Genomic DNA, 14,584 nt, shown 5'->3' on the forward strand with positions numbered 1-14,584 from the left:
ATGCTCTCCCATGTTCCGTCTTTGCTGAGGGTCCCTTGGATGGGTGTGTTTGTGGGGCATAGTCTCTGGGGGAAGAGGGGCAGATCCTGGATTGGTCTGGAGCCCCAGCTGGCCCCGCACAACTAGGAAAACTGGTTGGGGCGGCTGACTCAGGGTGTGTTTATACTGGCGTACTCCCCGCCCCCTCCCTCCCTCAGGCACCCTCCCCTCCCGTCCCTGACCCGGGAGAGGAAGGAAGTTCCTATAACGTTCATAGTTGCCACTAGTTCTGCGTGTTGTGCATTGGGCACGGAGCAGGAAGACCTTCACAGGTTGTAACTGGTCCCAGCTTCCTTTGAGGAGACTGAGTCTCAGAAAAGTCAGGCTGCTCCCTCGATCCTACAGGGGCAAAGCTGGGATTGGAATCCAGCTCTGACTGATGCCCCGGATGGAACTCTCATCCACTGTGATTAGAATACAATCTGAGCACCTCCTGCTTTTCTTTCTGGCCCCATCTCCTGCCTCTCCCACTTGCCCTCTCTCTCAGCCAGTTCTATGAACATGCTAAATTTATTCATTTTCTTTTTTTTCTCTCTCTCTCCTTTCTTTTCTTCTTCTTTTTTTTTTTTTTTTTTTTTTGCCGGAGTTTCGTTCTTCTTGCCCTGGCTAGAGTGCAATGGTGTGATCTTGGCTCACTGCAACCTCCGCCTCCCGGGTTCAAGCGATTCTCCTCTGTCAGTCCCCCAAGTGGCTGGGATTACAGGTGCACACACCAGCATGCCCAGCCAATTTTTGTATTTTTAGTAGAGACAGGGTTTCGCCATGCTGGCCAGGCTGGTCTCACCCTGACTTCAGGTGATCTGCTCGCCTTGGCCTCCCAAAGTGCTGGGATTAAGGCGTGGGCCACCGCGCCTGGCCTCATGTGTTTAGTCTTCACCTTTTCCGTTCCTTCTGCCTGGAATGCTCCTCCACCGTTGTTTGTCCAGCTGCTATGGTAGAGACTTCTAGCGCTCATCCATGTGTACTCGCCTTTCCTTCCCAGTTACCCAAGAAAACTGCTTTTCCCAGCCCCCTTGCAGTTAGATGAGGGCCTGGGACTCATTCTGGCCAATGTGCTCTGAGTGTGAGTGAGGAGAATCACTTCCAGGCTGAGGCCATGAAGAGCCCTTGCAGGACTCCCCAGCTCTCATTCTGTGCCACGGTGGAGATTCTGGAAGCCTTGTGTTGAGATAGACGCAGGCTGAATTGCTGAGTCACCGTATGGAGGGCAGCAGCCTAGGAGACCTGGCAGTCTGACTCAGACTTTGCATGGTCAAGAAACAAATCCTTTCTACCTGCTGGAGATCTTAAAAGAGAAAGAAATCCTTGTGTTAAATCTTTGAGATGCAGGGATTAATTTGTTACTGCAGCATAGCCTGTCGTATACTAATAGAGCTGATCTGTTCAGGTGTCAGTTGAAATATCACCTTCTCTGATCAAAATATCTAAACTGGTGCCACCCCCACCCCCTCCCCCTCCAACCAGTCCTTTCTTTTTTTTTGAGACTTTTTTTTTTTGAGTCTCGTTCTGTCATCCAGGCTGGGGTGCAATGGTGCTGTGATCTTGGCTCACTCCAGCAGCTGCTTCCTAGGTGCAAGTGATTCTCCTGTCTCACTTTCCGAGTAGCTGGGATTACAGGCACGCGCCTCCACGCTAGGCTAATTTTTGTATGTTTGGTAGAGACGGGGTTTCACCATGTTGGCCAGGCCGGTCTTAAACTCCTGGCCTCAACTGATCAGCTCACCTCGGCCTCCCAAAGTGCTGGGATTACAGGCATGAGCCACGGGCCCTTACCAATTTTTCTAGCACTGTGTTTATTTTCCTGAAACACTTATCTACTTGTTTGTTGCCTTGTGTATTGTCTGCACACCTCCCCCCACCACTAGAATGTAAGCTCTATGAGGGGAGGGCCCTTCGTTTGTCTTGTTCATGGCTGCATCCTTGGTGCCTAGCACAGTGCCTGGCATATATAGGTACTCAATAAATATTTGAATGGGTGAATGTGTGTATATTTATTTTTTGAGACAAGGTCTCACTGTCACTAAGGCTGGAGCGCAGTGGTGCAATCATGGCTCACTGCAGCCTCGACCTCCTGGGCTCAAGCCATCCTTTTGCCTCAGCCTCCCAAGTAGCTGGGACTACAGGCGGGCACCACCATGCCTGGCTAATTTATTTTTTGTAGATGCAGGGTCTCACCATGTTGCCCAGACTGGTCTCGAACTCCTGGGCTCAAGCTAGCCTCCTGCCTCGGCTTCCCAAAGTGCTGGGATTACAGGTGTAAGCCACCGGGCCTTGCCTGAATGCATTTACTGAATGAATGAAACAGGCAGATAACCACACTCACAGGTAGACATGGAATTTGATATTGGTACCTGTGTTTTTCTTTTTTATTGGAGTAAATATATTTACTGATATCCACTTTATATCTAGTTCAGTTACACAATCTGTAAATATAGGTGGCACAGTGGCTCACGCCTGTAATCCCAGCACTTTGGGAGGCCGAGGCTAGTGAGGTCAGGAGTTTGAGACCAGCCTAGCCAACATGGTGAAAACCCCGTCTCTACTAATATAAAAAAATTAACAAGGCGTGGTGGCACACGCCTGTAATCGCAGCTACTCGGGAGGCTGAGGCAGGAGAATTGCTTAAACCTGGGAGGTGGAGGTTGCAGTGAGCCGAGATTGCACCACTGCACTCCAGCCTGGGTGACAAGAACTAAACTCTGTCTCAAAAAAAAAAAAAAAAAAAAAAAAATATATATATATATATATATATATGTGCATTTTTTCTTTTGGATATCACCATGGTCCTTCTACCTGTGTTTTTCTTTTCTTTTTTTTTTTTCTGAGACGGAGTCTCACTCTGTCACCCAGGCTGGAATGCAGTGGCAAGATCTTGGCTCACTGCAACCTCCATCTCCCGGGTTCAAGCGATTATCCTGCCTCAGCCTCCCAAGTGGCTGGGATTACAGGCACCTGCCACTACGTTCAGCTAATTTTTTGTATTTTTAGTAGAGACGGGGTTTCACCATGTTGACCAGGCTGGTCTCAAACCCCTGACCTTGTGATTCACCTGCCTCGGCCTCCCAAAGTGCTGGGATTACAGGTGTGAGCCACCGCGCCCAGCCTCTACCTGTGTTTTTCTTACTCGGATGGGACACAAAGCCTCAGATCATCAGAAAGCTGGAAGCAATGGTTTCTTTTCTGACTCTTGGAATATCAGAGCTGGCTTAGAACCTTCTGTCTTCTCACTCTGTCTTTACAGATGAGGGAATATGGGCCCCTTAGGGAAGTGACTCATCCCAGGGCCCAATTTAAGTCTGTGGCTGAGCCAGAACCTGTGTCTGGGTCTCTGTACTCCTGGTCCAGTGCTCTGTCCACTGAGCTTTGCCTCTTCCTCTTTAGTTTCAGCCCAAGTTCTGAAAATATTTCCTGAGTATGTTTGCCTCTTCCTGCCCACCTTGCCGCGTAATCCTGTGACTCTGAGCAAGTCAGTGGCGATTGATGGCTGGGACTGGGTGGGGCTGAGACAGCGGTCAGAGATGAGAGAGGAGAAGGAACGAGACTCCCTCCGCAGTGCTCCTCAACCATGTCCTGGAGCTGAGCTTGTTGTTTTGTCTCACACCTCTTAAAAAAAAAACCAGAGGACAGGAGTGTGGATTCCCGTTGACCAAGGCTGTCAGGTAGAGGAGTGTTTCTCAGGGGTTGAGCCTTCCCCCAGCCAGACTGGACCTAGCTGCTCCCTCCTCTCTGCTCCATAGAACACTGGACATCGATTGTAGCACCTGTCATGTCACATTTTTCTCTGGCGTACTGTTCGTTTTTCTTGTAAATACAAAGGTGATACATGCTTATTGTAGAAAATTTGGAAAATATAGACATGTATGAATGATAAAATAAAGGTCTCCTGTAATTGCCCACCTAGTAATAACCATTTCAGCATTTTTGAACTTGTATTCAGTCTTTTTTCCTCTAAACGTATGAATAGCTAAGGCCACCTGTACCCAAGATGTCCCTAGGCCCTACCAGCGGGGGACATCCCGGTGGCCATGTTAATGTTTCCTGCGGCCACTCCAGCCCTATCCTGCTGGCTAGCATCTTGGCCTGCCCTGAAGCCTTTGCAGTTGTATCTGGGAGTCCCTTGAGGAGCCACATGTGAGATCCCAGCCAGGTTCTGCTTCTGTCTCCCTGCAGCTATCCCTGCCCTAAGTCCCCTGAGGGTGGTCCCTGTTGCTGCCCTGGCCACGGAGCCTGCTGGAAAAATCCAGCCCCCTTGTTCGGCCTCCCCTCCCCTGATGATTCCTGAGTGACAAAACTGGGAGGCACCCGATGGCCCTGGAGCCTCTTCATCCTGGCCAGGAGCAGGGAGGGTGTTCCCCTTCCAGCGCTGCGTTGACCGCGTTGTCGCCCAGGTTCTGAAGCAGCCATGCCTGTGCTCCGAGTTCCACTGGGAGACACCTCCCTTAGCTCAGCTTGCAGCCCCTCTCTCTGAAGGACATCTTGGGTCTGCCAGCCGGTACCGACCACCCTCCTTTTCTGAGAAGCTTCTGTGAGCTTCCAGTGGGCGCTAGCTACTAACCACCCCTCATGTCCTGGCTGTACACTTAGGACATTACAGCCTTTCCCTGGGATTTTCTTTTCTTTCTTTTTTTTTTTTTTGAAATGGAGTGTTGCTCTGTGGCCCAGGCTAGAGTGCAGCGGCACAATCTTGGCTCACTGCAACCTCCGTCTCCTGGGGTCAAGTGATTCTCCAGCCTCAGCCTCCCGAGTAGCTGGGATTACAGGTGCATGCCATCACACCCGGCTAATTTTTGTAATTTTAGTAGAGAAGAGGTTTCACCGTGTTGGCCAGTCTGGTCTCAAACTCCTGACCTCAGGTGATCCACTGCCTCCGTCTCCCAAAGTGCCGGGATTACAGGCGTGAGCCACCACGCCCTGACCAATGCTTTTGTTTTCCCTGGGATTTTCTGAGTCGAAAATAAGAGAAGAAGGCAGTTCCTCTTGGGTGGCAAAGCTTTGAGAATTGGAGGCCAGGAGCTGCCACCTGTGGCTACAGTGGGAAGCTTGAGTTCAAAGAATAAAGTCACAGGAGATGGAGAGATAGCATCTTGGAAAAGATCTGTGCCTGGATCCTGCTGTGCCTGAAGCCAGCTGTGCCCCTGCCCACTGCACAGTTCTTGCCTTGAGCCAAGAAATCCCACCTTTTGCCCAGGCTGATGCCAGTGGTGCTGCTGTCCCCTACCACAAGTGAGTCTTCAGGAAACAGGGCTCTGCCTTGGATGAGGTGGGTACAGACACCACTGTGCTGTGTGTCTCTTCATCCCTGTCCCTGGAAACTGCAGCATGAAGTATTGGGGGTGAGGTGTGTGTTCCCAACCAGCTAGTTCAGGGATGAAGAGATCCCAGAACCCAGTTTCGGTTCAGCTGGGACTTATCAATGTGACTATTTAAACAACCTCGGAATCATTTGCCAGCTCGCAATGTAATGTTACAAATTCTTACCCACTCAACTGTGAGCTCCAACAGTAGAAACTGGCCACCTCTCAGTTGTGTGACCTTGGGCGAGGTTTCTCATTTCTGAAATGAGGATGCTTACAGTCTCTACCTCAGAGGGTAGCTGGAAAAATTAAACGAGCTAATCCAGAGAGAGGGGCTTGCTGTTCTCGTCATTTGCTGCTATTGTTCACTGTGGTCAGATTAGTGCCTCACACAGGCCAAGCACCAAATGGGAGCTTCATAAATACTGTCCACTGATTGGAGGGAGAGCTCCTGGTGTGCATCCCCTGTGCCAGAGGGACACACAGTCACACACACTGTATTTCTTGCTGCACACACACACACACACACAGCACCCAGCACCCAGATCTCAGTGCCCTGCACAGTGACTTTCCTGGGAGCCTGAGGCATCCCCACCCCTGGCTTCTCTGGAGGGCAGCCTGCAGCTCTGAGGCTCTGGGCTGTCATCCCAGCAGCTCCATGTTGCTGGGAGCGCAGCTTGGAGCCTGGCTCAGCCCTACACCACGTATCAAGGGCAGCCAGACCCGTGGTGTCCTAGGAGCCTGGGGGAGTGTGTTGGGGGGAGCTGCTTAACCTAGGAGGACCACGGACTTGCTGGAGCTCTTGCTTCTAGAGCTGCTGCTCTCTGGAAGCTCCCCCTTGTCATCCCCCGGGCACCCAGTCTCTTCTAATTCCCCTACCTCCCTAAGCAGCACCCCTAAGTCCTGTCTGGGGGCTCCACTGGTCTTTTTACTGGAGGGAGAGAGGCTTGTCTGTGGAGCTGAAATGGACTCCTGGTTTGCCTGCCCGCCTGACCCCATCCCCCTTTCAGACGACCCCCATGGCCAGGCAACCCCATCCACCCGCCTCCCGGACCCAGCCTCTCACTTGTGCTATGCACGGGAACATCGGTCTCTCTGGATGTTCTAGGCTGGTATGTTTCCTGCTGCGCCAGTGGCCCCAGGGATTGTGAGTGGGGTGAAGATGCAGCTTAGGAGCAAGTGTTGGAGACAGTGTGTGGCTGGGTGTGGCCCTCAGTGTGGGGTGTAGTGTAGAATCAAGGCTGTGCAGCCTGTTACAGTTTTGTGTGGAATGTCTTGGTGAGACGGGTAGATTGCCAGTGGGTTGCGTTTTGGGTCAAGGGGAATTATACTCAGGGCACTAACCCTTTGTGGGGCTGCCCAGGTCCTTGGGCCCCGAGAAGATAAGGGAAGGGGAAGGGCACCTCTCTTTAGGGTGCTCCCAGAGCGCCCCATCCCATCCCTTGGCATTGCTAGATTCCAGTGTGCGGCTTAGGCTCAGATCACCCGGCAGAGGGGAGGGGAGCCCTCGTCTGGGGTCCTGCTGAGTTCAGAGATCTTATTTCGCACCCCACCATCCACTCTCCTTTACCACAGGGATCCCTGGGGCGGGTGGGGAATTCCCAAGCCCTTTGGCCGGTCCCTTCCAGTGCCCAGCTCCCAACAAAGGGGGCCGACCACGTGCCCCTCCTCGACGTGGGCCTGGAGTGGGGACGCACGCGGCCCCGGGACCCAGCTCAGGCAAGGGCGAGATGCAGACTCCACGCAGCTCCCCGGGTGGACGCGAAGCGGCCCCCGACAGCCCCGCCGCCTCCGCCGAGCCTCGCCCACTCTCAGCCCCAGCCACTGCAGCGCGCCCGAAGCGGCGCTAGGGGGAGCTCTGGCAACTGGCTTCGTGGATTGAAGCAAAACCGTGCAGCCAACCGCGATTTCCTTGGACTTGCAGGGGAAAATGGGGAGGGAGGAAACGCACTGTTCCCCCTCCTCGGCAGCTCCAGACTCTTCCCGTGGGAGGCCGATGAAGCAGCCCTGGGGGTGAAGGTGCCTTTCCTCCCCGCGACTCACGCCCCCAGAGCCTCCTTTTTCCCCACCCCCAACGCGGACCTCCGCGGACCCCCGCATTCTGGAGAGTGTCCCCGAGAACTTCGCCTCGCGTGACACCGGGATCCAGAGCGGAGCAGTCCCCGGGGACAGGCTTGCGTCCGCCTCTCAGAGTCTGGCTTGGGGGCCTCTTGGCGGCAGCCCCTCCTGTCGCCGCGGGAGGCGCGAAGGCTGGGGTGGGGGGCGCGAGCCGTCCTGCGGGGTGGCTGCGAGGCTCGCACCGGCGAGGGCAGTGTGGGGGCGAGGGAGCCAGCGAGAGCGAGGAGCTGTGGGGAGTCGGCAGCAAACAGCCAGCAGGCTGCCACTTTGCTTTCTTTTTCTCGTTCTTTCTTTCCTAACCCCTCTTTGCAAAGCTGGAACTATCCCGCGCGCCCCTGGGCCCAAGCCGCGGCTCCAGATGTGGATTTGTTTCCAGTGGGGAGAACGCGAGCTTCCCCCGGGCCTTGGCACATTCTCCCACTCTGAGGTCATTCCGTAGGTGGTCAGAGGGGAGCGCGCGCCGGGAGCCTTCCTCCCTCCATCCACTGGGGAGGGAAGAGCGGCGGGTGGGAGGGAAGGAGAGGGAGAGGGGAGGGGCGCGAGGAGGGAGGGAGACGCCGCCAGCACACCACCAAGTGGCACCGAGCAGTGATAACAAACTCAACTTAAAAAAAAAAAAGGGAAAAAGAAAAGGAAAAAACTTCCCCAAGTTGCAGCCCGAGACATGCGGACGTGCGGGGCAGAGGCGCGGGGCAGGGAGTGCGGGTGGCCCTGAAACCCCCGGCGTCCCCCGGCTGCTTTCCCCGGCCACAGAGAGCTCAGACTCGAGGCCGACCAGGCCCTGCGCCTGTGCCTGGGCAGGAAATGTGCTGGAGGCTGGCTCCGCTTCCCGCTGGAGACCCCGGGGCGGCCAGTTCCCGTGGGGGACAGGACCCCCCTGGAGCGGGGGCGGCCGAGAGACGCGCAGCACCCGCTTCATCCCCAGCCACCAACATCACCCCCCATTCTCCCACCGCCGACCTTGCGGATGTGGGTAGATCCCGCCCGCCCAGGCCGAAGAGAACTGGGGTTTACATGGGGGTGGGCGGGGTCTCTCCCCACACCTCTCTATCCTCTCTGACGCCCCCAGACATCTGAAAACAAGGCACCACCATCTTCTGTAATCGACTTTTTATTAAGATTATAAATTTAAACAATCTGAACAGTTTTACCCGGTGATATACAATTCAGTATGCACAAAAATACAGGGTAATGAGGGAAAAGGGCCGAGAAAGGAAGGATTGGCAACTCGTTTTGGAGTCCACACGGTGCTGATGGCAGAGAACCAGAGGGGCTGCAGACGAACCCCACCTTTTTACAACAAAAGGCTTTTAAATTAAACAAATCTATCGAGCTGAAGACACAGGACGGGGTTCTCACAGGCTCGAACAATGCTGGTTTCATGAAATGCAACCGAAGGCTGAACCAAGGCAGTGCAACTTAGAAGCACACACACAAACACCACAGCTGACCAGGAACTTAGTGCAAAGTCTCCAACGCAGTCGGCGGTCCCGGCCCCTCCCTCCCCCGGGGCCGCCGGGGATCCAGGTGAAGGAATTGACTTCCTTTTTTGTTTAGTGAGGACCGCAGTGCTAGGCATGATGGGAAATGTAGTCCGCCGTGCCCGCCCCCCACCCCTTACCCAGTGTCCGAGAGTGTCGGGGTGTCAGGCGCCACCCCCGAGTCCGGGAGACGGGTGGAGGAGGGGAGGAGAACGGAGCCAGAGGGGCGGGGAGAAGAGGGGTTCAAGACACCCGCCCCGGGAAGAAAAGAAAAAAAAAGTTGAAGTGTTTTCATTTCTGCCTTCTCATTTTGAGAACTTTGGAGTCCGCCCCCAGAGAGGAAATGTGACCCAAACGTCCCTTTCGGAGATAGAGTTTGCCTTTGTTTTTGCTCAGAATTTCACAAGACCCATTCCTCACCCCACAGAGGGACTCGGGAGAGCGGAACGTCGGGCTTCCCGGGTCTGACAACTGATTGGAATCGGCTTCCCAGGTCCGGCGCCCTCCTGAGCTGCGCCCCCGGCGCGCCCCGGCGGCCAGGGCGCCCTGCCTCGCCCCCGGCTGCCCGGCACCTCCTCCGGGCAGCAGCCCTCCCTCACGTGGTAGGCTCCTCGCTAAACACCACTGCAATCACTACAATAAAAAGAAAAAAAGGAGTAGGAGAAACACAAAGCATACTTAAATAGGCGCTTTTTCTCTCTGCAAAAATAAAGTCCAAGATTTTAGATTTCTTTTTTTTTTATTTTACAATTTATAAAACATCAGCCGCCTGCCCCCGCTCGCCCCCAGCTCAGCCCCGAGTGGCCCGGCGCCCGCTCGTTCCCTCCTCTCGCCCCTTTGCCGAGTCTTTGTCTGGCCCCAGCCCCGCGGGGCCCCGGGTCCCTGTGCCCTCGGGGGTCCCTAGAAGGCGACAATGGCTCGAGTCCAGGCGCCGAGGCTGGCGAGCGCCTGCTTGGCGCACAGCTGCCCGTTGAGCGGCGGCGGCTGCTCCGAGGAGTCCGGCTGTCGGCTCACCAGCCCCGAGAAGCCGGAGCCAAAGATGGAGATCAAGTTTGAGATGTTGGACGCGTCCGGGGACGAGTCCGGGCAGAAGTCCTCGAAGCGGGCGCGCTTGCAGGGGGCGAACGGGGCGCCCCCGGGGGGCTCGGCCCCCAGCCCGCCCGCATCCTCCTCGTCGTCTTCCTCCTCCTCCTGGCCAGGGTAATACTTGCGCTTGCAGCCGGCGGCGGACGCCAGGCCCGGTCCCGGAGCGCCCTGGCCACAGCAGGGGCAGTGGGCGGAGGCGCAGCAGTCCTGGTGCAAGTAGCCGTTCTCCACCGTGGTCACCACGTGAGTGTCTAGGTCCAGCACGGTGGTCTGGCTGCTGCAGTGCAAGCCGAAGTCCGAAGGGGTAGGGTATGCGCCCCGGTAGAAGCCGGGGGAGGAGGCGGGGGCCGGGGAGGCGGGCGGAGAAGCGGCGGCGGCCGGAGGGGCGGCCCCTGGGGGCGCGGAGCAGGCGGCCGGGGCGCGAGGGTCCCGCGGGCAGAGCGCAGCGGGCGCGGGCGGCGGCAGCGGCAGCGGCAGCGGCGCAGGACCCGGCTGCAGAGGCTCCAAGGGCTGCCCGCGGTGGGGCGCGCCGTGCGGCGGCTGGAGCGCGGCGCACCCGGGCAGCTCCGAGAGCGCCCCCGCGCCGCCCGCGGGCGCTCCGGCCGCCGCCGCCGCCGCGCAGCCCCTGGGCGCCGGGTGCTGGTGCTGGTGCAGCTGCTGCTGGAGGTGCAGCTGGTGGAGCTGGTGGAGCTGGTGCAGCTGGTGCCGGGCGGCCGGCTCGCGCGCCTCCGCGTCCCCGCCGCCGCCAAGTTGGAGCGGGCCGAAGTCGGCCGCGCTGGCCGGCATGCCCGGCGCCGCGTACGCTAGGTGCTGGTGCTGGTGGTGGGGCGGCTGCTGCTGTTGCTGCTGCTGCTGGCGCCGGTAGAGCTCGGCGTAGCGCTCGCTCAGGTAGAGCTGGCGCGCGTTGCGGAGCACGTAGGACACCAGGAGGTTCTTGTGCAGCTTGATGCCGCCGCGCTGGGTTCGGGAGCTGTGGATCTTGCGCAGGGAGATGCTGATCAGGCTCTGGGCGTCCAGGGCGCACTCCATGCTCCCGCGGAGACGGCGGCGGAGCAGCCGCCGCCGCTGCTGCTGTTAACGCTTCTGCTGTTTCTGCCTCCAGCCGGCCGCCGGGGCGCGCCGGGCAGGGGTAACGGAGTCCGGGTCAGAGGTTCGGCTGCGCTCCGAAAGGAGCCGCCACCATGCGCCGCGCGCCACCCGCGGGCTCGCGCTCCCCAGACGGCGCCAAAGCAATGAGTCTCGGCCGGCCCCGGCCCCAGCTATTTAGCCGGGTGCCCGGGCCCCGCCCCACATGAGAAGAGCCAATAGGAGCTCTGAGAGTCTCCTGAGTGACAGGCGCAGCCCGCCCCGGGGCTACTCGGCTGGCCAATCAGACCAAGGCGGTTCCTTTGTGCTATTCAAATACCGAACGGACCCCGGGCCTCCAACGCCGCTGCTGCCTCGAATGTTCTCCTGGGGCTGCCGCGCCGCGCGGGACTCGGAGCCGCCGGGGCCGCAGTCTGCAGCATAGGTCGCCTGGCAGCGGCCACGTTGAAGCCCGCGGCTGCCCTCGCCTTAGGTCCCGGGAGCCGGGGGTCGGCTCACCTGAGTGCTGCGGCGACGGCTCCTCCCCTTTCCGCACGGCTGGGCCTCACCTGCGGCAGGTGCGCGCCGCTCATCGCTCCCCCAGCGGCGCGGCGCCTCCACCTGCGCACCTGTCGCCCCCCCGAGTGACCCGCGGGAGTCAAGGCCTCTCTACAGGAGGCTGGTGGAGCCGCCGGCTTGACACTGGGGAACATCAAAGGAGCGAGGTTTTGGGGGTACCCTCTACCGCAGAGAATGTAGGGCCTGACTCCTTGACTTTTTGGTCGAGGGGCCTCTGGGAATGCTTGCGGAAGGGAAGTCCTCCCCATTTGTCTGACAGGAAAAACCAAAACATCGTGAATTTTGACCTTCTCTGATGGAGAGAGTTCCGAGGCCAGGCATGACCCAGGGAGTGTGTGGACCTCGCGACCAGCTGAGGCTCAAAAGCGTCCTGGGAGCCGAAACGCTGAGTGCCCTAATCACCAGCTCTGTAACCTTTCCTTTCGTGCCTAACTAATAATAATGACAATAGGGACTATTATTATGGGCCTAATATGGGGCAGGCCCTTCCCAGCAACTCCCCAATGCCTCACTCTAACGTTTGTAGAGGAGGGGCCTGAGGCTCGGAGGAGTGGAGTGACTTGGGGAACCACACAGTTCCCAGGGGGCGGAGCTAGGAGCTGGGACAGGACCCTGCGCTCGAGACGGGAGGTGAATACCAAAGGCCCGGGGACTCACCGACTTAACTTCTGTTGACACAGCTTTCCTTCTTATCCTGAACCCTTCAGGTCCCAGCTGGGGACTGAGACAGTGGGAGAAGAGAGGGACAGGATTGCTGATTCCTGGGGGCGCTCTATCTGGACCAAGAGGCCTGAAGGGGGCTGGTTGCTGCTCCCAGGGGTTTCAAAGGTGCCTGGGGTGGGGGCTGCCCAGACAGCTCTGGAGGCTCTTGGAAATGGTCTGGAGGTTTGCCTGAGGAGGGTCCATGAGTGGATCCCTGAAGGATGAACGAGGTCTGCAGAGTCTCCCAGAGATAGGTGGACCTTGTGGGGCTGGACTCAGGGGGGAGGCCCATGACCAGACGTCCTGCTGCTTCACCGCCTCCTCAGGGGATCTTCTGAGTCTCTGCTTTTTGGGGCTTCCTTCTGAGTTCTCAGCACCTACTTCATCCCTTGGTGGGAGTGGAGAGACCCAGTAGCCCACCCTGTGGTCTCTGGGTCTTTCTTTAGTCTTAAGAATTTCCAAGATTTCTGCAAAAGTTTCTTAGCATCTACTCCATGCCAGGCGTTGAGAGTGAAGACAGAGTTAGCGGGTGTTTACTTCATTTTTCCGATGAGGAAACTCGGACACTGACAGCGTGAGACTTGCCCAAGATCACATGGCCCCAGGGCTGGTGCTGTGTCCTTCCCTTGGCCCCCTCGAACAATCTCAAACGCTTTGGGCCCCTGTGACCAATAGCACCTCTCCAGGCCTCCTCCCAGAGAAGCCAGGATTGAAATTTCAGGGGACTTCAGATAAAGGATGTCCTACCTACATTTTATTGGTGATACAGACCTACAGGCTGTGGAACTTGCTCAGGTGATAACACGTAGAAGTAAAAATACACTGCCCTTCACTTCCCTGGTGCCTGTCTTAAAGGCACACAAAGACTTTATTTATGGCCGGGCGCGGTGGCTCACGCCTGTAATCCCAGCACTTCGGGAGGCCGAGGCGGACAGATCACGAGGTCAGGAGATCAAGAGCTTCCTGGCTAACACAGTGAAACCCTGTCTCTACTAAAAATCACAAAAAATTAGCTGGGCGTGGTGGCGGGTGCTTGTAGTCCCAGCTATTTGGGAGGCTGGGACAGGAGAATGGTGTGAACCCGGGAGGCGGAGCTTGCAGTGAGCCCAGATGGCGCCACTGCACTCCAACCTGGGCAACAGAGTGAGACTCCGTCTCAAAAAAAAAAAAAAAAAAAGACTTTATTTATTTATGTTTGAAGTTCACCTTTGAGACATCACTAGCATGCAGAGGGATCTGGGAGCTCTTACCGGCTTTACAGCTGTGAGGACTCTGTATGCAACAGTGAAGTCTGGGATCCACAGTGTCTGGCACACTGCAAGCCCACAGCTCCAGAAAATATTATCAGCACTGATTTGGGGTCTTCTTTCTGTCATGGCCCAGTGTTTATTGGGGGAAACTAAGAGTTTACACACCTTGCTTGAGGTCACATACCAGCAAGGGGTGGAGTCAAGATCTGAGCCCAAACCCATCTGTTTCCAGGGTGGGAGTTCACCAGAGGTTCCTCCAAATCAGCTTCCGCTGTCAGTGGAGCCAAGGCCAGTTCTCAGGGCCCAGCTCTTGGTGAATATGATCTTGGTTTGATCGACCCCCACCGCTTTACTGCCAAGTGCTGTGGGACCAGGGCCCATAAGGAAGCAAATGTCAGTCTCAGCCTCAGCCCCTCATTCAGAGCTGTACCCCAGAACATGAATCTGGGGGCCCAGATGGGGAAACAGGGCAGGGATGGAGGTGGATTTCCACCTACAGGTTGGGGGCAGAAGGACCAGGCCCCTCACATGGGCAGCTCCTCGTGGCACCTCCTAGTCCCCCACAAGGTGAGTTTGGGGATCTTTGAAGTTCCTTTCATTCACTGGGGCCAGCTGAGAAGTGGTCAGCCTCTTCTGGGTGGCCCCATCCTCTGGGTCTGTTGGGGGCCCACACTCTGTCTCTCCTCTTTCTCAAGAACTGAGAAGTGGGCTAATGGGGAGGGCTCAGCAGTTGTGCAGCTTCATAAAAACCCTTGGTCTTTTTTGAGGTGGGCTGGGAAGGGGAGGCACCACAGCTGTCGTCAGGAAAACCTTGCTGAAGGAGGCAATGGAACAGCTGCACTATTTGGTGCCCGGGGGAGCGGTGTGGCTTGGGGGGCACATAGTAGGAATTCACAAACGTTTATAGAATGGGTGGTTTGCATGCCAGGCTTCTGCTGGGATGCATAAAGGTTCAGGGCAGCCAGTGTGT

The 14,584-nt window shown here is 57.0% G+C and overlaps 1 protein-coding gene across 1 annotated transcript, besides 13 other annotated features; it reads right to left on the reverse strand.

The window, feature by feature from the left end:
• Positions 292-1,281: an enhancer, noted in NCBI's record as "H3K27ac-H3K4me1 hESC enhancer chr9:131929576-131930565 (GRCh37/hg19 assembly coordinates)". NCBI's record gives its function as "activates a minimal SCP1, AML or CMV promoter by ChIP-STARR-seq in naive H9 embryonic stem cells {active_cell/tissue: H9 hESC(naive)}" and the evidence as "EXISTENCE:reporter gene assay evidence [ECO:0000049][PMID:30033119]".
• Positions 7,667-7,716: a silencer, noted in NCBI's record as "silent region_20363". NCBI's record gives its function as "represses an Ori minimal core promoter by ATAC-STARR-seq in GM12878 lymphoblastoid cells {active_cell/tissue: GM12878}" and the evidence as "EXISTENCE:reporter gene assay evidence [ECO:0000049][PMID:35858748]".
• Positions 8,100-8,821: an enhancer, noted in NCBI's record as "H3K27ac-H3K4me1 hESC enhancer chr9:131937384-131938105 (GRCh37/hg19 assembly coordinates)". NCBI's record gives its function as "activates a minimal SCP1, AML or CMV promoter by ChIP-STARR-seq in naive H9 embryonic stem cells {active_cell/tissue: H9 hESC(naive)}" and the evidence as "EXISTENCE:reporter gene assay evidence [ECO:0000049][PMID:30033119]".
• Positions 8,348-8,447: a silencer, noted in NCBI's record as "silent region_20364". NCBI's record gives its function as "represses an Ori minimal core promoter by ATAC-STARR-seq in GM12878 lymphoblastoid cells {active_cell/tissue: GM12878}" and the evidence as "EXISTENCE:reporter gene assay evidence [ECO:0000049][PMID:35858748]".
• Positions 8,547-11,256, reverse strand: IER5L (immediate early response 5 like). The gene has a single exon (NM_203434.3). It carries the CDS (start codon positions 11,045-11,047, stop codon positions 9,833-9,835), a length of 1,215 nt encoding a protein of 404 aa, NP_982258.2. The 5' UTR covers positions 11,048-11,256; the 3' UTR covers positions 8,547-9,832.
• Positions 8,751-8,810: an enhancer, noted in NCBI's record as "active region_29109". NCBI's record gives its function as "activates an Ori minimal core promoter by ATAC-STARR-seq in GM12878 lymphoblastoid cells {active_cell/tissue: GM12878}" and the evidence as "EXISTENCE:reporter gene assay evidence [ECO:0000049][PMID:35858748]".
• Positions 9,021-9,070: a silencer, noted in NCBI's record as "silent region_20365". NCBI's record gives its function as "represses an Ori minimal core promoter by ATAC-STARR-seq in GM12878 lymphoblastoid cells {active_cell/tissue: GM12878}" and the evidence as "EXISTENCE:reporter gene assay evidence [ECO:0000049][PMID:35858748]".
• Positions 9,411-9,560: a silencer, noted in NCBI's record as "silent region_20366". NCBI's record gives its function as "represses an Ori minimal core promoter by ATAC-STARR-seq in GM12878 lymphoblastoid cells {active_cell/tissue: GM12878}" and the evidence as "EXISTENCE:reporter gene assay evidence [ECO:0000049][PMID:35858748]".
• Positions 10,511-10,850: a silencer, noted in NCBI's record as "silent region_20367". NCBI's record gives its function as "represses an Ori minimal core promoter by ATAC-STARR-seq in GM12878 lymphoblastoid cells {active_cell/tissue: GM12878}" and the evidence as "EXISTENCE:reporter gene assay evidence [ECO:0000049][PMID:35858748]".
• Positions 11,081-11,460: a silencer, noted in NCBI's record as "silent region_20368". NCBI's record gives its function as "represses an Ori minimal core promoter by ATAC-STARR-seq in GM12878 lymphoblastoid cells {active_cell/tissue: GM12878}" and the evidence as "EXISTENCE:reporter gene assay evidence [ECO:0000049][PMID:35858748]".
• Positions 11,081-12,140: a biological region, named in NCBI's record as "Sharpr-MPRA regulatory region 13939".
• Positions 11,185-11,479: an enhancer, noted in NCBI's record as "tiled region #13939; K562 Activating DNase unmatched - State 1:Tss". NCBI's record gives its function as "activates a minimal TATA promoter and a strong SV40 promoter by Sharpr-MPRA in K562 cells {active_cell/tissue: K562}" and the evidence as "EXISTENCE:reporter gene assay evidence [ECO:0000049][PMID:27701403]".
• Positions 11,217-12,140: an enhancer, noted in NCBI's record as "OCT4-NANOG-H3K27ac-H3K4me1 hESC enhancer chr9:131940501-131941424 (GRCh37/hg19 assembly coordinates)". NCBI's record gives its function as "activates a minimal SCP1, AML or CMV promoter by ChIP-STARR-seq in primed H9 embryonic stem cells {active_cell/tissue: H9 hESC(primed)}" and the evidence as "EXISTENCE:reporter gene assay evidence [ECO:0000049][PMID:30033119]".
• Positions 12,141-13,064: an enhancer, noted in NCBI's record as "OCT4-NANOG-H3K27ac-H3K4me1 hESC enhancer chr9:131941425-131942348 (GRCh37/hg19 assembly coordinates)". NCBI's record gives its function as "activates a minimal SCP1, AML or CMV promoter by ChIP-STARR-seq in primed H9 embryonic stem cells {active_cell/tissue: H9 hESC(primed)}" and the evidence as "EXISTENCE:reporter gene assay evidence [ECO:0000049][PMID:30033119]".

The sequence above is a fragment of the Homo sapiens genome, chromosome 9 (genome assembly GCF_000001405.40).
Source record: "Homo sapiens chromosome 9, GRCh38.p14 Primary Assembly".
NCBI classification, from domain to species: domain Eukaryota; kingdom Metazoa; phylum Chordata; class Mammalia; order Primates; family Hominidae; genus Homo; species Homo sapiens.